At 49.2% G+C, this 21587-nt stretch overlaps 1 pseudogene across 1 annotated transcript in view, besides 3 other annotated features; it reads left to right on the forward strand.

The window, feature by feature from the left end:
- Positions 1-18657, forward strand: part of SLC22A20P (solute carrier family 22 member 20, pseudogene) — a 28918-nt pseudogene extending 10261 nt beyond the window's left edge. Inside the window, exons 7-10 of the transcript NR_033396.1 lie at positions 9050-9264; positions 12309-12417; positions 12585-12788; positions 17890-18657. The product of NR_033396.1 is annotated as a solute carrier family 22 member 20, pseudogene (transcript). The remainder of the gene's footprint in view (positions 1-9049; positions 9265-12308; positions 12418-12584; positions 12789-17889) is intronic.
- Positions 1770-1969: an enhancer, noted in NCBI's record as "active region_4951". NCBI's record gives its function as "activates an Ori minimal core promoter by ATAC-STARR-seq in GM12878 lymphoblastoid cells {active_cell/tissue: GM12878}" and the evidence as "EXISTENCE:reporter gene assay evidence [ECO:0000049][PMID:35858748]".
- Positions 18365-18565: a silencer, noted in NCBI's record as "peak1301 fragment used in MPRA reporter construct". NCBI's record gives its function as "represses an SCP1 promoter by STARR-seq MPRAs in K562 erythroleukemia cells {active_cell/tissue: K562}" and the evidence as "EXISTENCE:reporter gene assay evidence [ECO:0000049][PMID:32103011]".
- Positions 19750-20275: an enhancer, noted in NCBI's record as "OCT4-NANOG hESC enhancer chr11:65011321-65011846 (GRCh37/hg19 assembly coordinates)". NCBI's record gives its function as "activates a minimal SCP1, AML or CMV promoter by ChIP-STARR-seq in primed H9 embryonic stem cells {active_cell/tissue: H9 hESC(primed)}" and the evidence as "EXISTENCE:reporter gene assay evidence [ECO:0000049][PMID:30033119]".

Genomic DNA, 21587 nt, shown 5'->3' on the forward strand with positions numbered 1-21587 from the left:
TCACGCCTGTAATCCCAGCACTTTGGGAGGCCGAGGTGGGTGGATCATGAGGTCAGGAGATTGAGACCATCCTGGCTAACATGGTGAAACCCCGTCTTTACCAAAAATACAAAAAATTAGCCGGGCATGGTGGCGGGCACCTGTAGTCCCAGCTACTCGGGAGGCTGAGGCAGGAGAATGGCGTCAACCCGGGAGGCGGAGCTTGCAGTGAGCCGAGATCATGCCATTGCACTCCAGCCTGGGCGACAGAGCAAGACTCTGTCTCAAAAAAAAAAAAAAAAAAAAAAAGATGGTTAATCAAGTTTGCAAGGTGGGCAGGAAGGAATACCTAACAGGTTCACAGGCATGAAGATGTGAAATGGACAAAAATACAAAGGCAGCCCATATGCAGTAGCACCACCAGCTGCAAGCTGACAAATCCTAAGGGGAAGGGCTGATAAAAAACAACCGTGTTGATTTCATTCCACTGGATTTCCTGCACATTTAAATAATTGGTATTGATACTTATGAAGCAGGGAGTGCAGGCAATGAATTACTATCTCCTTCCTTCCTTCCTCTCTCTTTCTCTTTCTTTCCTTCTCTCCTTCCTTCCCCCCTCCCCTCCCCTCCCCTCCCCTCCCCTCTCCTCTCCTTTCTTTCCACGGAGTCTCCCTCTGTCTTCAGGCTGGAGTGCAATGGTGCGATCTCGGCTCACTGCAACCTCCGCCTCCCGGGCTCAGGTGATTCTTCTGCCTCAGTCTCCCAAGTAGCTAGGACTACAGGCACATGCCACCAAACCCAGCTAATTTTTGTATTTTTAGTAGAGACGGGAACTATCTGTTTTCTGTAGCAGACTGGGGAGTCTCTTTTAGTAGATATCAGCTGGGCTCTGAGGCCAGACTATCCAAGTGACCTGAGCAAGTCAGGGAGCCCAGCCTCCTGGGGCCTCTTTCCTACTTCTGTAAGGTCCTTGTGAGGATCCAGAGTTAAGACATGAGGCCAGCCCGGGTGACTCATGTGTGTAATCCCAGCACTACGGGAAGCAGAGGCGGGAGGATTGTTTGAGCCCAGGAGTTCCAGACCAGCCTGGTCAACATAGGGAGACGCCCACTACCTGGGGGTGGAGGGGTATGTATACCTGTGGTTCCAGCTACTTGGGACGCTGAGGTGGGAGAATTGCTTGAGCCCAGGAGTTTGAGGCTGCAGTGCCCTGTGATTGCACCACTGCACTCCAGCCTAGCTGACAGAGCGAGATCCCATCTCAAAAAAACAAAAACAAAAACCAGTTAAAGCACGTAAAGCACTTAAACCACAGGTTGCCCCCTGGGAAGCTCTGGGGTATAGAGTCTTTCCTCCGGTTTGGATTTGGGGCTGTGACCCCTGTGTACTGGGAAGATGGGACGGCCCCCAACTCTGGGAGGCTGTGAGGCCTTCTGTCCCCAACAGCGTGGCAGGCAGCGCAGTTCCGGCTCTGGGGAGCAAGGGGGCTCCTGCGAACCCGAGTCCAGGAATGGGCGTCTTCCTGCGGTAGCCCCTGCCGGCCTGGGCTTGCCCTTCGTCCACCTTCCTCTTTCCGCGAGGGAGAAACAGATCCTGAGTTCAAAATTCCAGAGCTGAAAGTCCTCTCTTGGATCCTTCTGGAAACAGCAAAAGCCCGTTTTTGCTGAGAAAGTGACTCGGCAGCTATCCGGAGCTCTCTGCCTGCAGGTGGGGCCATTCTCCTATGGAGCCGACCCGACCCGCTCAAAGCTGCCCCGGGAACCGCAGGTTTGGTTCGCGCACGCCGGGACTTGCCAACCGCACCCGAAAAATCGGGGCCATGTCCAAATGTTTCGCTTCGCTGCCGGCAGGGAGCCGCGCCGGGCTCGCTCCTGGGATCAACTGCACAGTCCTGGCTTTGGGGAGCGGGAGGCGGTGAGCCTGCCCGCCCCCCGACCCCTTCCTCACCAGTGTGTCTGGGGTGAGGTGGGGATGGGGAGTCCTGGGGTTCGAAAAAGGATGGGGGAGGAGAAAGAGGAAGTGTTAGGAACTGGTGAACTTTCACAAACTTCCACAAACCCTATTGTAAATGCCTTCAATTAACTGGGATTTTTTTCTTTACTGGTTGATTGATTTAAGACAAGGTCTTGCTCGGGCACCCAGGCTGCAGTGCAGTGGCACAATCATAGCTCACTGCGGCCTCGACCTCCCAGGCTCAAACGATCCTCCCACCTCAGCCTCTGTAGTAGCTAGGACTACAGGTGCCTGCCACCAAGCCCGGGCTCATTTTTAAAAATAGAGATGGGGTGGGGTCTTGCAATGTCGCCCAGGCTGGTCTAGAACTCCTGGACTGAAGCGATCCTCCCCCTTGGTCTCCCAAAGGGCTGGAATAACAGGGTTGAGCCACCTTGTAGTTTTTTTCTAAATTCTGAGAAGCATGCATACTCATTGTTAAAAACATTTTTTCCCCAAACAATCCAGAAACAGGCAGTGTAGTTCATTGGTTAAGAAGCAGGACTCGAACGTACTCCTTTGGTTTGAATCTCAGCTCTGCCACTTACTGGCTTTGTGATCCTTGACAAGTTACTTAACCGCTCTGTGCCTCAGTTTCTCCATTTGTAACATGGGCATCATAATAGAACCTACCACATAAGGCTGTTGTGAAAATTAGTCTGTAAAGCAGGTAGAACAGTGCCTGAATATGAGTTGTTTTCTGTTATCAGGTACATAAGTGCATGTCCCTCTCAACCTACTCTCCCTTCCACCTCTGAACATCTCCCATCTCCCATTTCTGTCAGGCATGAATTTGTATCCTTGCAGCTCTTAGTACATACATGACACCCACATACTTACACACACACACACACACACGTTCTTATAGAAATGGATTTAATAGGGGCTGGGTGTGGTGGCTCATGCCTGTAATCCCAGCACTTTGGGAGGCCGAGGTGGGCGGATCACTTGAGTCAGGAGTTCGAGACCAGCCTGTCCAACATGGTGAAACTCCATCTCTACTGAAAATATAAAAATTAGCCAGGTGTGGTGGCACGCACCTGTAGTCCCAACTACTCAGGAGGCTGAGGCAGGCGAATCACTTGAACCCGGGAGACAGAGGCTGCAGTGAGCCAAGATCTCGCCACTGTACTCCAGCCTGGGCAACAGAGCGAGACAGAGTGTCTCAAGAGAAAAAAAAAAAAGGATTAATACTCTACCTCTTCTGCTTTTGTTTTTTTAATAACTTAATCACATCTGTAAAAACTTTTACAACATTACATGTAACCAGCTTCCGGCATGTGATAGCTTTGCAATAAATATTTGATGAGTGAATGAACCAATGAGTGAATGAATGAATTTTAGAATATTGTGAGCCACAGAATTATAAGATGAAAAGGAATCTTAGAGAATGTCTGGTCCATTCTCCCTGCCACTGCCAATCTCGCCTGAGTGGCAATGCTGGCTAGTCGTGGTCCAGTCTCTCTGGGAAGACTCCGTTTCTAGAGCTCACATTCTCAGGAGCCTTTCCCCCTTCTTTCCTCCTAGGTGAGCAGACACGTTAACAAGCAAAAGAACTGAATGTAAAACTGGTGGTTTTTGACTGAGTGTCCCTCAAATTTCTCAATGGCCACTTTATTTTTTGTGAATGTTATAGTCTTATATTGCTTATAACAAATCACCATAATTTAGTGGCTTAAAATAACACCCATTTATGAGCTTACAATTCTGCAGGCCAGAAGTGCCAGCTGGGTTCTCTGCTCAGGCTCTTAGGAGGCTGAAACGAAGCCTCCTTTCTGGAGGCTCTGGGGAAGAATTCACAGCCAAGTTCATTTCAATTGTTGGTTCGATTTAACTGCTTGCAGCTGTAGGATTTATGTCTCCATTTCCTCACAGGCTGTTCATAAAAGCCACCTACATTCCTGGCTAAGTGGCCTCCTCCACCTCAAAGGAATATCTTCCTCATATCAAATCTCTCCCATGCTTTGAATCTCCAACTCCCAGTCTTTGACCTCTAGACCCAGATTTAAATCTCATGTTATTAGATCAGGCCCTCCCAGAAAAATCTCTGTTTTAAAGTTAAGTGATTTGGGACCTTAATTACATCTGCAAAATCCTTTCACAACACCTAGATTAGTGTTTGAATAACTGGGAGAAGGTTTGTGTACACCCGGGCCAGGAATTTGATGGACCATCTTGGAGTTCTTCTTCCCACATACAGGTTTATTTGTTTTTTTGTTTTTGTTTTTGTTTTTGTTTTTTCAAGGCAGAGTCTCACTCTGTCACCCAGGCTGGAGTGCAGTAGTGCCATCTCAGCTCACCGCAACCTCTGTCTCCTGTGTTCAAGCAATTCTCCTGCCTCAGCCTCCTGAGTAGCTGGGACTACAGGTATGTGCCACCATGCCCAGCTAGTTTTTGTATTTTTAGTAGAGACGGGTTTTCTCTATGTGGGCCAGGCTGGTCTCGAACTCCTGACCTGAAGGGATCTGTCTGCCTCAGCCTCCCAAAATGCTGGGATTACAGGCATGAGCCACCGCACGTGGCCCACATATACTTTTTATTGAAGTATAACACACATGCAAAAATGCACAAGGCTCAGCTTGACAAATTCTCACAAACTGTACACACCCATTAATCAACACACTGGTCAAGAAACAGAACATGATCAGCCTCCAGAAACCCCGTCCCCCCATGTCTTCTTCAGTCATTACCCTCCCCTATGGGAATCACTATCCTTATTTCTAATGCCACAGATTACATTAGCCTGTTTTTGGGCTTTATATAACTTGAGCTACATAGTTTTTGTAATTTATACCGTTTGTGAGATGCACTCATGTTGTCATATGTAATTTAGTTCGTTCTTTCTTCGTGTATAACAATCCATGGTACGAATATACTACTTGTGGTAGACAGAATAATGACCCCCAAAGATGTTTGAATCTTTATAGCTTTTCTGTAAATATATATTTATTACAAAATAAAAATTATTTTTAAAAAGCAAGGTATGCAGTAGAATAAGATACTTGCAGAAACCAATATCCAACAAAAAACCATATCCAGAAAATATATCTACGTCTATATATAATGTATATATATTACTAGAAATCAATAAGTAACATTCGTCCCCATCCTAATCCCTGGAATCTATAAATATGTTACCTTCTATGGCAAAAGGGACTTTGCAGATGTAACTAAGGATCTTGAAGGAGGATTACCCTGGATCATCTGAGTGGGCCCAGTACGATCACAAGGGTCCCTACAAGTGGAAGAAGAAGGTCAGAGTGAGAGAGAGACCTTTGGAGACGCTGTGTGCTGCTGGCTTTGAAGACAGAGGAAGGAGCCACAAGTCAAGGAATGCAGGCAGCCTCTAGAAGCTGGCAAAGGCAAGCAAACAGATTCTCCCATGGAGTCTTCAGAAGGAACACAGCCCTGCCCACACTCTGACATTAGCTCAGTAACACACGTTAGGCTTCTCACTTCCAGAAGTGTAAGATAATACATTTGTGTTGTTCTATGGCACTAAATTTGTGGTAATCTGTTACAGCAGCAATTGGAAACTAATACAGAAACGTTACCAATTTTTTTTTTTCTGAGACGGAGTCTCGCCCTGTTGCCCAGGCTGGAGTGCAGTGGCACGATCTCAGCTCACTGCAACCTCCTCCGCCTCCTGGGTTCAAGCAATTCTCTGCCTCAGCCTCCCGAGTAGCTGGGACTACAGGCGCGTGCCACCACGCCCGGCTAATTTTTTGTATTTTTAGTAGAGACAGGATGGTCTCAATCTCCTGACCTTGTGATCCGCAGATCTCGGCCTCCTGAAGTGCTGGGATTACAGTCGTGAGCCACCGCGCCCAGTCTACCTATTTTATTGCTGAAGAACATTGGGCTTTTCCCAGGTTGGGCTGTTACAAATACTGCTGCTATAAATATTCTTGTACATTTCTCTTGGTGAAAAAACACACTTGTCTGTCCTTCCTTCCTTCCATCCTTCCTTTCTTCCTTTCCTTCCTTCCTTTCCTTCCTTCCTTCCTTCCTTCCTTCCTTCCTTCCTTCCTTTCTTTCTTTCTTTCTTTCTTTTTCTCTCTTTCTTTCTTTCCTTAAATATGGAGACAGGATCTCACTATGTCGCCCAGGCTGGTCTCAAATTCCTAAGCTCAAGCAATCCTCCCACTTCAGCCTCCCAAAGTGCTGGGATTACAGATGTGAGCCACTGCACTGAGCCCACGCTTGCGTTTCTGTCAGATACATACCTAGGATTGGAACTGCTGGATCATAAAGTATGGGTGTGTTTCTCTGTAATAGAAGCAAGCAGTTTTCCAAAGTGGTTATACCAATTCACACCCTCATTAGAAGCATATGAGTTCAACTTGTTCCACATCCCTAGTAACACTTGGTATTGTCTGTAATTTAATTTTAGCCATTATAGTGAGTGTGTAGTGATACTGTACTGTGATTTCCAATTTGCACTTCTCTGATGTCTAAGGAATGTAAAAATATTTGCATGAACTTATTGGTATTTTGGATGGCTTTTTTTTAATGAAATGCTTATCCAAGACTTCTGCCAATGTTTCTACAGGGTTATCTTTTTTCTTATCGCCTTACATAAGAATTTTTTTTTTCTTGGCCAGGCGCAGTGGCTCATGCCTGTAATCCCAGCACTTTGGGAGGCTGAGGTGGGCAGATAACTTGAGGTCAGGAGTTTGAGACCAGCCTGGTCAATGCAGTAAAACCCCATCTCTACTAAAAATACAAAATTAGCTGGGCGTGGTGGTGTGCGCCTGTAATCCCGGCAACTTGGAAAGCTGAGACAGGAGAATTGCTTGAACCTGGGAGGCAGAGGTTGCAGTGAGCTGAGATTGCGCCACTGCACTCCAGCCTGGGCAAAAAGAGTGAGACTCCTTCTCAAAAATATATATATACATTTTATATATATATATATATACACACACACACACATTATATATATACATTATATATATACATTATATATATATACACACACACATATAAACATGTATATATTTTTTTCTGGATAAAATTTATTTTCTGGATATTGGTTTTCTTAAATATATTCTGTTAGCTTACCTTCATAAAATTTTGGAATAAATGTGTATTTATTCTTCTATAAATGTATAATTATAGAAAAGTTGCAAAGATAGTACAGAGAGTTCCTGTATCCACTTCACCCAGTTTCCCCTCATATTATCATCTTAAATTACCTTAGTACATTTGTCAAAAGTAATAATTTAAGATTGGTAATTTACTATTAACTAAACTAGAGATTTATTTGGATTTCACCAGCTGGTATATCCCATTACATTTAGTTATTATGTCTTCTTGGTCTCCTTTGATCTGTGACTGTTTCTTAGTCTTTCCTTATTTGTCATGACCTTGACAGTTTTGAAAAGTATTGGTCAGGTATTTTGTAGAATGTCCCTCAATTTGAATTTTTTTTTTCTTTTTTGCCCACGTTGGAGTGCAATGGCATGATCTTGGCTCACTGCAACCTCCGTGTCCCGGGTTCAAGGGATTCTCCTGCCTCAGCCTCCCAAGTAGCTGGGATTACAGGCATATGCCACCACACCTGGCTAATTTTTGCATTTTTAGTAGAGATGGGGTTTCACCATGTTGGTCAGGCTGGTTTTGAACTCCTGACCTCAGGTGATCCACTGGCCTGGCCTCCCAAAGTTCTGGGATTACAGGCATGAGCCACTGCACCTGGCCTCAATTTGGATTTGTCTGATGGTTCTCTCATGACTAAACTGGGATTGTGGATTTGGGAAAGGAGAACCATGGAGGTGATATGACCTTCTCATCATATCATATCATATCATATGAGGGCATATATGATGTCAACATGACTGATTACTGGTGATTTTGAAGTTAATCCCTTGGTTAAGGTAGTGTCTACCAGGTTTCTCCACTGTAAAGTTAATAAATGTTCTCTTTCCATATTCTTGTTTTACTTTTCAATTTTAATCTATTTATTTATTTTGAGACCAGGTTATGAGACTGGCGAATTTTTGTACTTTTGGTAGAAATGGGGTTTCACCATGTTGCCAAGGCTAGTCTTGAACTCCTGGGCTGAAGCAATCCACCCACCTCAGCCTCCCAAAGTGCTGGGATTAAAAGTATGAGCCACCATGAGCAGCCTCTTTCCATATACTATTATTTGAAAGTGAGTCCAGTCCACACTCAAGGGGAGGGAAACTAAGTTTCATCTCCTGAAGGAATGGATTTTTTTGTTTGTTTGTTTGTTTTGTTTTGTTTTGTTTTGTTTGAGATGGAGTCTCCCTCTATTGCCCAGGCTGGAGTGCAGTGGCGCGATCTCGGCTCACTGCAACCTCCGCCTCCCAGGTTCAAGCAATTCTCTGCCTCAGCCTCCTGAGTAGCTGAGATTATAGGCGCCTGGCTAATTTTTGTATTTTTAGTAGAGACGGGGTTTCACCAACTTGGCCAGGCTGGTCTTGAACTCCTGACCTCATGATACACCCGCCTTGGCCTCCCAAAGTGCTTCGATTACAGGCATGAGTCACCGTGCCCAGCCTAGGAGTGGAGTATTTACACACATTGTTTGGAGTTCTTCTTTAAGAAAGACTTATTTATGAAATCATTTATTTATATAGGCTCATGTGTAACCATGTAGTTTATACTTTGGGTTATAATTCAACAACGTTTTTCCTTTATTTAGTAGATACTACATTCTTTACCTTATTTCCCAAATTCCTCCAGCTTTGGCCATTGGGAGCTCTTCCACATTGGCTCCTGTGTCCTTTGACCTTCCTCCATCTTCTTCTCTTTTTATTTTTTAGCACTGCCTTAATTTCGGCGCTGAGGTGGGTACTGCAGAGAAAAGCAAACACTCCAGAACCCATGCACTGGATCCAGGAGTGGGTGGTAGAAAGGGATGTGGAGGGAGGGGTCTGAGCTCTAATACTAAAGACAGAGACTTAGGAGACCGTGAAGGGGTGTTTATGGAAAGTCAGGGAATTTTACCTCCCCGAGGAGAGGAATCCTGTGTCATCCACCTTTGTGTCCCCTCCCCTGGGCTCACAACAGTGAACCATGGGGTGAACAAGGACCATTCCACTGCCTCTCCCAGGTTCTCCAACTCTGTGGCTTACTATGGCCTGGCCATGGACCTGCAGAAGTTTGGGCTCAGCCTATACCTGGTGCAGGCCCTGTTTGGAATCATCAACACCCCGGCCATGCTGGTGGCCACCGCCACCATGATTTACGTGGGCCGCCGTGCCACGGTGGCCTCCTTCCTCATCCTGGCCGGGCTCATGGTGATCGCCAACATGTTTGTGCCAGAAGGTGAGTCACCCACTTCTGCCCTTGCTGCACACCAAGAACTGGGAGCCTCTGGGGTCTGGTAGACAACAAATTTCACATGGCAGCAAGGCTGAAGGGTATGTCTCCGGATCTGAAAAGAAAGCAACTGTTAGGCTGGGCACGGTGGCTCACGCCTGTAATCCCAGCACTTTGGGAGGCCAAGGCGGGCAAATCACCTGAGGTTAGGAGTTCAAGACCAGCCTGGCCAACATGGTGAAACCCCGTCTCTACAGAAAATACAAAAAAATTAGCTGGGCGTGGTGGTGTGCACCTGTAATCCCAGCTACTTGGGAGGCTGAGGCAGAAGAATCACTTGAACCCAGGAGACGGAGGCTGCAGTGAGCCAAGATCGTGCCACTGTACTCCAGCCTGGGAGACAGAGTGAGACTCAAAGAAAAGAAAAAAGAAAAAGAAAGCGACTGTTGATTACTAGAGTTTGTATTAAGCACTTAGTGCCCAGTGGCAATTAGTGGCAGGTGGAGGTCTTGAGCCTTGGCCCTCAGAGCTTCTACTGTGTGGCCAGGGAGGTTAGACAGGTGCACCTAAGCAGCTGGAGAGCACAGGGGCTGGCTCGGTGTGGCCAGCAGTGTGTGCGGCCCCCCGAAGTCTGAGCAGGCAGCATGTCCAAGGGTTGAGAAGTTAGGATTCAAACCTCAGCTGGACTGGCCCTGGAACAGTGGTTTGCAAACCTGGCTAAAATGACCTTCTCCTGGAGCGCTTTGAAAACTCCCAGGGCCCAGGTGCTCCATGCCAGCGCCCTGGGAATCTCAAGGAGTGGAACTCAACCCTCAGTATTTTACAAACTGTCCAGTGAGTCCAGCAAGACGCCAGGGTTGAATAGCAGCGACATAGAGCATGGGCCAAACCATGTGCCCATTGTGACTGCAGCCTTGGCCGTGGGCAGGTTGTCCAACTTCTCTGTGCCTTAGTTCTTCACCTGTAAAATGGATAAATGTTATTATTGGTGTCTTGACCTATTTCATTCCAATCTTTTTTCCTATTTATAGATTTGTATTCAGCATAGTTGAGATATTTTATATGTTTATACATACAAAAATATAAATAGGATACATACATATATATGTATATATGTGCATGTGTACATATATATATATATATATATATATATATATAGTGCCCTTATTTCATTATATGTTGAAACATACACATTCTTTTCCATGTTAGCACAAATGTTTCATGGACCTGATTTTTTTTTTTTTTTTTGAGATGAAGTCTCATTTGTTGCCCAGGCTGGAGTGCTGTGGTGCTCACTGCAACCTCTGCCTCCTAGGTTCAAGTGATTCCCCTGCCTTAGCCTGCAGAGTAGCTGGGATTAGAGATGCGTGCCATCATGCCCGGCTAATTTTTGTATTTTTAGTACAGGCGGGGTTTCATCATTTTGGCCAGGGTGGTCTCAAACTCGTGACCTCAAGTGATCTGCCCACCTCGGCCTCCTAAAGTGCTGGGATTACAGGCATGAGCCACTGTGCCTGGCCTCATGGACCTGATTTTTTATTGCTATGTGATCCTTCCCTCCCTCCCTCCCTCCCTTCCTTCCTCCCTCCCTCCCTTCTTCCTTTCCTCCCTTCTGCCTTTCCTCCCTCCCTCCTTTTCTTTCTTCCTTTCTTTTTCTTTCTTTTCTTTCTTTTTTAAGACAGAGTCTCACTCTGTGGCTCAGGCTGGAGTACAGTGGCACAATCATGGCTCACTGCAGCCTCGACCTCCCAGGCTCAAGCAATCCTCCCACCTTAGCCTCCTGAGTAGCTGGGACTACCGGTGCATTCCACCACACCTGGCTAATTTTTTGTATTTTTTGTGTAGAGACAGGGTTTTGCCATGTTGCCTAGTCTGGTCTCAAACTCCTGGGCTCAAGCGATCTGCCTGCCTTGGTCTCCCAAAGTGCTGGGGTTATAGACGAGAGCCACTGCACCCAGCCTAGATAATATTTCATCTAGATTGATGTTTCTAACTCTGGCCTCACAATAGAATCTCTTGGGGACCTTTAAAAAATACCCAAATTTGAGCCCATCCCCAGTAGGTCTTGCTAGAGTGGACATTGAGTAAGACCCAGGTGTGAGTGTTTTATAAAATCTCCCCACCTGATTCCAATGTGCAGCCAGGGCTGCCACCCAGCCAGAGAAGGCACCATCATTTCCTTGACTGCTGTCCTAACGTTGGATGTTTGAATAGGGGTTTTGCTACTTATAAACAACAGCGGGAGAAGCATATTGAAAATGAGGACAATGGGCCGGGCGCGGTGGCTCATGCCTGTAATCCCAGTACTTTGGGAAGCCAAGGCAGGTGGATCACCTGAGGTCAGGAGTTCGAGACCAGCCTGGACAACATGGTGAAACCCTGTCTCTACTAAAAATACAAAAATTAGCTGGGCGCGGTGGTGCACACCTATAATCCCAGCTACTCAGGAGGCTGAGGCAGGAGAATTGCTTGAACCTAGGAGGCAGAGATTGCAGTGAGCCAAGATTGTGCCACTGCACTCCAGCCTCAGTGACAGAGAGACTCTGTCTCAAAAAAAAAGAAAGAAAGAAAGAAAGAAAATGAAGGCAATGGCAAACATTTAATGGGCACTTTGCACACCTGGCATTGTGTCCAGCTTACGCCAACCCCATGAAGCAGGTGCTGCTATTTTCCTTATTTTACAGATGAGGACAGGGAGGTGCAGAGTGGGTAAGAAACACTGACCTAGGTCAGCCAGCGGGGTGAGAGCTGCAATTTGAACCCAGGCCTGACTCTAAAGCACCTGCCTACCCAGCAGGACTTGGTGACAGATGCAAATAAAGGAGCAAGGAGGGAGAAGTCAGAGAAGGGCAGTCAGGGGACTCCTGGGTCCTAGGAACAGTTGGGAAGGGGAGGTGGTGGAAATCCTGGTTCTCCTCTGGGTTCTGAGTGGGCTCTGCCTCTTCCCCCCACCTCGCCCTATCCCCTCCTGAGGCTCCACCCTTCTCCACTACACCCTGGGCCTCCCTCTCCTCCCCTCCTCCTCAGCTGCACCCTACTCCCCTGTCTAGGCACGCAGATCCTGTGCACAGCCCAGGCAGCGCTGGGCAAAGGCTGCCTGGCCAGCTCCTTCATCTGTGTGTACCTGTTTACCGGCGAGCTGTACCCCACGGAGATCAGGTGGGTGCATGGGGGGAGATGCTGCAGGTTGAGACCTGTTGGGCTCACCGAGGCAGGACCCCTGGTCCCTCCTGCCCTGTCCTCTGACACTCAGGGCGTGGCCCTCTTGGGCCCCTAGGGGTGCAGGTTGCTGCACTGACCCATCCCCATCCACACACCTCCCACAGGCAGATGGGGATGGGCTTTGCCTCTGTCCACGCCCGCCTCGGGGGCCTGACGGCGCCCCTGGTTACCACACTTGGGGAATACAGCACCATCCTGCCACCCGTGAGCTTTGGGGCCACCGCAATCCTGGCTGGGCTGGCCGTCTGCGTCCTGACCGAGACCCGCAACATGCCCCTGGTGGAGACCATCGCAGCCATGGAGAGGAGGTGAGGGGCCTCCAGCACCAAGAGGCCGAAAGTTACAGGAAATAACTGGGGGGCAAATGGGGTGCCCTCCCCACTCCTGCGTATCGGAAATGTCCTGGCCAGATGCACCAGAGCTGTGAGATGCCTCCCCCACCTCCATCTGCACTGGCTTAGCTTTCCCCAAGAACAGACCCAATCACGAAGGTAGAAAAGAATAAACCGTGAACAAGGAAACACGTGGGTTGGAAGTGAGACGTGGCAGAGAAGTGAGGAGAGGAGAGCGGAGGAAAGTGAAGCAAAGACAGGCTCCCATGGTTGCTGTGCAGGCTTCAAATTTGGTTCTGGGCTTCTTCACAACAGAAAGGGAGACCCCATTCATGGCTGCTCTTGGAAAGGAAAACAAATACCAGTCCCTCAGGAGAGTGAAGCTTTCCTTAGCATTTAGCACTAGGAGAGGTTTCTCTTCACTGCTTGGCCCCCCACCCCTCTTTTCTTTTTTTTTTTAAGATCATCTTGGCTTCAAGTGTGGGTCTCATTAGAAAGGTCACTAAGGTGACAGCAATGTCCTGGACAATGTTTCTAAAACAAACTCAAGAGGGGACTTGATCTGGCTGCTTCTTGCAGCATTTCTCAGCAACAGTGGGCTCAGGGAAGACCCTTAGTTTGCGGGAATGGTGACAGGAACAGTAGCCGCGCCCGTCTGTAACCCTCTCTGAAGGTCAGCTTGATCCCAAAGGTGGACCCATCTGTACCCAGTGGCCTGTATAGGTGCTGTGTTTGCAACCCTGAAATAACTCCCATAAACATTCCATCTCTAACCTGAGCCATGGGCCAAGGCTGAACTGCAAGAGATCAAGGATATATTCTTTGGCAAGTCCTATCATTTCTTTTCTTTCTTTTTTTTTTTTTTTTTTTGAGACATTGTCTCACTCTGTCACCCCGGCTGGAGTGCGGTGGTGCGATCATGACTCACTGCAACCTCCGCCTCCCGGGTTCAAGTGATTCTCCTGCCTCAGCCTCCCGAGTAGCAGGGATTACAGGCGCCCGCCACCATGCCCAGCTAATTTTTGTATTTTTAGTAGAGATGGGGTTTCACCATCTTGGCCAGGCTGGTCTTGAACTCCTGACCTTGTGATCCACCTGCCTCGGCCTCCCAAAGTGCTGGGATTACAGGCGTGAGCCACGGCGCCCAGCCCAAGTCCTATCATTTCTGCCTCCAGAATAGACTTAAATCTGTCATTCTCTCTCCAGCCCTGTGTCCATGGCCCTATATCAAGCCACCATTGTCTCTTGTCTGGACAACTACGAGAGCCTCATATCTTCCCCTGTCCCTGTCCACTTTATTCCCTGCAGGCCAAGTGGGGGAGGACAGTCTTCATCTGGGTGCTGAGCAGGGCTTGGAGAGGATGAGGGTATGGGAGGCGGAGTGTTAAAGTGCATGTATGGGCCAGGTGCAGTGGCTCACACCTGTAATCCCAGCACTTTGGGAGACTGAGGTGGGTGGATCACCTAAGGTCAGGAGTTTGAGACCAGCCTGGCCAACATGGCGAAACCCTGTCTCCATTAAAAATACAAAATTAGGCTCTTGCTACTTCCTTCTTCCCGCTGCCGGGAACACAAGCAAAACGTTGAGGGCTGCAGCAGCCATCTTTGACCATGAAGTAACCTTAAGAAAGGAAGCCATTCTCCCTCTCCCTCTCCCTCTCCCTCCCTCTCCCTCCCTCTCCCTCTCCCTCTCCCTCTCCCTCCCCCTCCCCCTCCCCCTCCCCCTCTGGTCTCCCTCTCTTTCCACAGTCTCCCTCTCATGCGGAGCCGAAGCTGGACTGTACTGCTGCCATCTCGGCTCACTGCAACCTCCCTGCCTGATTCTCCTGCCTCAGCCTGCCGAGTGCCTGCGATTGCAGGCACGCGCTGCCACACCTGACTGGTTTTGGTGGAGACGGGGTTTCGCTGTGTTGGCCGGGCCGGTCTCCAGCCCCTAACCGCGAGTGATCCGCCAGCCTCGGCCTCCCGAGGTGCCGGGATTGCAGACGGAGTCTCGTTCACTCAGTGCTCAATGGTGCCCAGGCTGGAGTGCAGTGGCGTGATCTCGGCTCGCTACAACCTACACCTCCCAGCCGCCTGCCTTGGCCTCCCAAAGTGCCGAGATTGCAGCCTCTGCCTGGCCACCACCCCGTCTGGGAAGTGAGCAGTGTCTCTGCCTGGCCGCCCATCGTCTGGGAAGTGAGGAGCCCCTCTGCCTGGCTGCCTAGTCTGGAAAGTGAGGAGCGTCTCAGCCCGGCCGCCATCCCATCTAGGAAGTGAGGAGCGCCTCTTCCTGGCCGCCATCACATCTAGGAAGTGAGGAGCGTCTCTGCCCAGCCGCCCATCATCTGAGATGTGGGGAGCGCCTCTGCCCCGCCACCCCATCTGGGATGTGAGGAGCGCCTCTGCCCGGCCGCGACCCCGTCTGGGAGGTGAGGAGCGTCTCTGCCCGGCCGCCCCGTCTAAGAAGTGAGGAGACCCTCTGCCTGGCAACCACCCCGTCTGAGAAGTGAGGAGCCCCTCCGCCCGGCAGCTGCCCCGTCTGAGAAGTGAGGAGCCTCTCCGCCCGGCAGCCACCCCATCTGGGAAGTGAGGAGCGTCTCCGCCCGGCAGCCACCCCGTCCGGGAGGGAGGTGGGGGGGGTCAGCCCCCCGCCCGGCCAGCCGCCCCGTCCAGGAGGGAGGTCGGGGGGGGTCAGCCCCCCCTGCCCGGCCAGCCGCCCCGTCCGGGAGGGAGGTGGGGGGGTCAGCCCCCCGCCCGGCCAGCCGCCCCGTCCGGAAGGGAGGTTGGGGGGTCAGCCCCCTGCCCAGCCAGCCGCCCCGTCTGGGAGGTGAGGGGTGCCTCTGCCCGGCCGCCCCGACTGGGAAGTGAGGAGCCCCTCTGCCCGGCCACCACCCCGTCTGGGAGGTGTGCCCAACAGCTCATTGAGAACGGGCCAGGATGACAATGGCGGCTTTGTGGAATAGAAAGGCGGGAAAGGTGGGGAAAAGATTGAGAAATCGGATGGTTGCCGTGTCTGTGTAGAAAGAAGTAGACATGGGAGACTTTTCATTTTGTTCTGCACTAAGAAAAATTCTTCTGCCTTGGGATCTTGTTGATCTGTGACCTTACCCCCAACCCTGTGCTCTCTGAAACATGTGCTGTGTCCACTCAGGGTTAAATGGATTAAGGGCGGTGCAAGATGTGCTTTGTTAAACAGATGCTTGAAGGCAGCATGCTCGTTAAGAGTCATCACCAATCCCTAATCTCAAGTAATCAGGGACACAAACACTGCGGAAGGCCGCAGGTTCCTCTGCCTAGGAAAACCAGAGACCTTTGTTCACTTGTTTATCTGCTGACCTTCCCTCCACTATTGTCCCATGACCCTGCCAAATCCCCCTCTGTGAGAAACACCCAAGTATTATCAATAAAAAAATAAATTAAAAAAGAAAAAAAAAAAGAAAAAAAAAAAAAAGAAAGGAAGCCATGTGCTAAGAATGGTGGAGAAGAAAGGAGGAAGTGCGTGATGAATTTGTCAACATCCCTGGACTACCTAATTCCAGACTTTTTTAAGTAGAGAAAAATAAACCTCTAGTTTATATATAAAAAAAAAAATACAAAATTAGCCAGGTGTGGTGGTGGGTGCCTGTAATCCCAGCTACTTAGGAGGCTGGGGCAGGAGAATCGTTTGAACCCGGGAGGTGGAGGTTGCAGTGAGCCGAGATCGCACCACTGCACTCCAGCCTGGGCGACAGAGCAAGACTCCATCTCAGTGGGGTTGGGGTGGGGGAGTTGGGAAGATTAAGCCAATCGACTAAAATATTATAAATAGAAGAGTTAAAAAGCAAGGATAGAAACATAGATAAAACAGTATGAATGCTGGAAAAAATCCAAAAATGGAAACAGCTTAAAGTAGACAGGAGAAATGGGCAAGATATGAAACGATTAAAACAAGAGGATAACAGCCCAGGCGCGGTGGCTCACACCTGTAATCCCAGCACTTTGGGAGGCAGAGGCAGGTGGATCATGAGGTCAGGAGTTCGAGACCAACCTAGCCAACATAGTGAAACCCTGTCTCTACTAAAAATACAAAAATTAGCCGGGCATGGTGGCACGCCTGTAGTCCCAGCTACTCAGGAGGCTGAGGCAGGAGAATCGCTTGAACCCAGGAGGCAGAGGTTGCAGTGAGCCAAGATTGCACCACTGCACTCCAGCTTGGGCGACAGAGCAAGACTTCGTCTCAAAAAAAAAAAAAAAAAAGAGGATTAAAAAAACTAAGATAATTCCGTGGGAAAACAGTTATCAGTGTCCACAATACAAAAATAAAAATAAATGGAAGGAATTAGAACATAAATCATTTCAAAGACTAGAGGGTTCTTTTTTAAGGCGATAGGCCAGGCATGGTGGCTCATACCTGTAATCCCAGCACGTTGAGAGGTTGAGGCGGAAGGATTGCTTGAGCCCCGGAGTTCAAGACCAGCCTGGGCAACATAGCAAGACCCCCATTTCTACCCCCCCATCAAAAAAGGCAAAATTGGATCTTGTCAAGTGATAGAAAGCCAGTGGGGTAGCCTCAGGCTATTTGGGACTGAGGGGGCCTCAAAGTCCAGGCAAGCCCCCCACCACCCTCAACCTCCCCTGACTTCTTCAAGAGCCAACCAGGGCAGGGCAGGAGTGGCTCAGAGCCCTAATCTTTGTCCCTCCCTGCCTCCTGGGGTGGGAGAAGAAGGGTGCTAATAGTGCCCAGTCGCTGGGGGTGTCTGCTGGCCCCTGTTCTCCAGCCAAGTGACCTTGGGCATGTGTCCACCCTCTAGGTCCTCATCTGTAAGACTCTTTGTTGAACTTCTTGACCCTGCAGCTCTCCCAAGTCTGTTTCCAGACAGGCCAGCCTCTGCCAGCTGCAAGACCCCAGGGATAGAGCAAGGAGGGAGCTGGAGGAACAATAGGAGGGTGGCCACCAGGGTGCCCAAGAGAATCCAGAGGAGGGGCCACTGCAGCATCCACCTCCCTTCTGGCTTCAGGAGGGTGGAGCTGCACCCTGTGCATATGGCACCACCCTCCCCATGACATGCACACCACCTGCCCCTCACCACTGCCTTCTGCCTTTTCATTTCTACAGGGTCAAAGAAGGCTCTTCCAAGAAACATGTAGAAGAGAAGAGTGAAGAAATTTCTCTTCAGCAGCTGAGAGCATCTCCCCTCAAAGAGACCATCTAAGCTGCCTGGAACCTGGTGCTTGCTAGCAGCACCTGAGCCGATGTCCAGACGGCCCCCTGGGGGCTTCTCCCAGGAGCCCCTGGGGACACTGGTGCTGAACTGGAGGAAAGGTCGCTGAAAACATCATGGCTCCTATAGACAGCCACCCACAAGCCAGGGCTGCTTGGAGGGAAACCCCACCAGAAACAGCCAATCTGTGTTACAAATGCATAGAAAGCCAGGAGAAGCCAGTCCCAGGGACCAAAGGAGAGACTGTTTTCCTTTCCCATCCCCAATCTGCCCCTTAAAATGTCTCTGTATTAGTCCATTCTTGCACTCCTATAAAGAACTACCTGAGACTGGGTCATTTACAAGGAAAAGAGGTTTAATTGACTCACAGTTCTGCAGATTGTACAGGAAGCATGGCTGGGAGGCCTCAGGAAACTTACAATCATTGCAGAAGGCAAAGAGGAAGCAAGCACGTCTTCACATGGCTGGCAGGAGAGAGAGAAAGTGAAGGGGAAGGTGCCGCACACTTTACAACAGCCAGATCTCGTGAGAACTCTTTATCACGAGACAGCACTAGGGGGGTGGTGCCAAACCATTAGAAACCATCCGCAGTATCCAAGCACCTTGCACTAGGCCCCACCTCCAACACCGGGGATTACAATTAAACATGAGATTTGGGTGGGGACACAGAGCCAAATCATATCACTGTTTATTCTTGTTCCACTTGAGAATGCTGTGTCTTTGCAGGGTTAGGGTGATATCTCTGCCAAAGGGTTGTCCCTGGAATAGCCCCACTCATCCTTGAGAAACGTGGAGAACTCATTCTATTCCACTCACCCGGAAAGAGTAAATACTCTTCTGCCTTATGGGATTAAAGCTCTTTCCCCCGTGTGTGTGTGTCTTACCTCCTTGACAGGAAAATGTCTCCATAGCAGGCATTCTTGCCTACCTTTGTAGCTCCAGCAGCCCCTCATAGTGGCCTTGCAGAAGCTGCATGTTTAATAAATAGTTGATGAAGAAATGATCAAAACAGACTCCCGCAATAGATGGAGACCTTTGTGCGTTGTTTGCATTCCTAGCAATACCACTTTGCAGAACTGGGATATGGTTCTTTTCCCCAGAAGCCTTCTTCAGGTGTGTGCCACTATGATCAGCTATTTTTTTTATTTCATAGCAATAGGGTCTTGCTTTGTTGCCCTGGCTGGCTTTGAACTCTTGGCCTAAAGCAATCCTCTGGCCTCAGCTTCCCCAAATGCTGGGATTACAGAGAGGAGAAGGCCTAGTTTGGCACAGCATCCCGCTGGCCTCAGATCTATTTCCAGCCCAGGTGTTGGCCATGTATCCCTGACCTTAACCTTCACTGGAATTCAGATTAGATTTATAAGGGATTCGAATCTTGGCCCATTGGGTTGTCTTGGCCAAATTTTCTTGTCTGATCCCTTCTTCCTGGAGTTACCAGATAATCCAACAAGATCAATTCTCAGTCCCCTACAGCCCAAAGAAAGGCACAATATAGGGAAGAAACAAGACTATCACAGTCTGGGCAGGAAGCATGGCAGCTTGCCGTTTTGCCAAGATTAGTCTTCCAACAGCTTGGAGCAGAGGTGGAATGTGACTCCCCCAAGGACTTGTCCCAAGGCCCTGTTATTGATGCACTGAATCCTCAGCTCCTCCCCAGGGATTTAACCTCTTTTTGAACATGTCAGGGAACACCTGTGTGATCCGCTACATGAGCTTTTCCATTCGAGTTGTTCTCCACCCACAGCCCTCAGCAAATCAGTGATTTCAATAGGCAGAGGGCTGCTGTGCCTGGCCATGCTTTGAGATTCACCTTGGGGGTTACCTCTTCCAGGCAGCTTTCACTGACCACACCTGCCTACCTCTGCGTGCTGCTCCACTCCCCCGCACCACCCCCATCCCCCCCACCCCAGCCTGCTGCCCCATGCCCTCTATTGCAATCTCCTTATTGCACTTTCCCATTGTGTTGTGATGGGTCCATTTACATGCTGATCTCTCCAGTGGCTCCTCAAAGGCAAAGTTAAATCATCTTTTCTTGACCTGGCCTGCACATGGCAGGTGCTCAGTTCATGTTGCCAGAGTGAATGACTTTTTTTTTTTTTTTTGAAATGAAGTCTCACTCTGTCGCCCAGGCTGGAGGTCAATGGCGTGATCTCAGCTCACTGCAACCTCTGCCTGCTGGGTTGAAGCGATTCTCCTGTCTCAGCCTCCTGAGTAGCTAGGATTACAGACGTCCACCACCAAGCCCAGCTAATTTTTGTATTTTTAGTAGAGACGGGGTTTCACCATGTTGGTCAGACTGGTCTGGAGCTCCTGACCTCAGGTGATCCACCTGCCTCGGCCTCCCAAAGTGTTGAGATTACAGGCTTGAGCCACAGCACCTGGCCGTGAATGACTATTATTTTATTTATTTATTTTTGAGACAGGGTCTCACTACGTCACCCAGGGTAGAGTTGCAGTGGTATGATCTTGGCTCACTGCAGCCTCGACTTACCTGGCTCAAGCAATTATCCCGCCTCAGTCTCCCAAGTAGCTAGGACTACAGGTGTCTGCCACCATGCCTGGCTAATTTTTAAAGTTTTTGTAGAGACAGGGTCTTGCTCTTTTGTCCAGGCTGGTCTCAAACTCCTGGACTCAAGTAATCCTTTTGCCTTGGCCTCCCAAAGTGCTGGGATTACAGGCATGAGCCACCACACCCAGCCTTTATTTTTATTTTTGAAGAAAATTTAGAATAATGGTTCTCAATCTTGGAATCACCTGTGAGCTTTTTAAAAAAAAATACCAGGCCGGGCGTGGTGGCTCACACCTGTAATCCCAGCGCTTTGGGAGGCTAAGGCAGGCAGATAACGAGGTCAAAAAATTGAGACCATCCTGGCCAACATGGTGAAAACCTGTCTCTACCAAAAATACAAAAATTAGCTGGGCATGGTGGCACACACCTGTAGACCCAGCTACTCGGGAGGCTGAGGCAGGATAATCACTTGAACCCAGGAGGCGGAGGTTGCAGTGAGCTGAGATTGCTCTACTGCACTCCAGCAGCCTGGCGACAGAGTGAGACCCCGTCTCAAAAAACAAAAAACAAAAAAACCAGTGCTAGAGCCCACTCCAATCCAGCAGATAAGGTTAATTATAACAAGACTGTGACCTCATAGTTAATGAGTTACTTACCATGGAGTTAGTAAGCTAATTTGATTTCCCTGCACACAGACAATACATACTTTTAAGTGAACAAACTAGATTTTCTTTCTTTTTCTTTTTCTTTCTTTCTTTCTTTTTTTTTTTTTTGAGACTGGATTTCGCTCTTGTTGCCCAGGCTGGAGTGCAATGGCGTGATCTCGGCTCATCGCAACCTCTGCCTCCCGGATTCAAGCAATTCTCCTGCCTCAGCCTCCTGAGTAGCTGGGATTACACGCATGTGCCACCACGTCCAGCTAATTTTTTATTTTTAGTAGAGATGGGGTTTCTCTACGTTGGTCAGGCTGGTCTCGAACTCCGGACCTCAAGTGATCCACCCGCCTTGGCCTCCCAAAGTGCCGGGATTACAGGCGTGAGCCACCACGCCTGGCCACAAACTAGATTTTCTTGAAGAAATATT

This window comes from Homo sapiens, chromosome 11 (assembly GCF_000001405.40).
Source record: "Homo sapiens chromosome 11, GRCh38.p14 Primary Assembly".
Classification (NCBI taxonomy): Eukaryota; Metazoa; Chordata; class Mammalia; order Primates; family Hominidae; genus Homo; species Homo sapiens.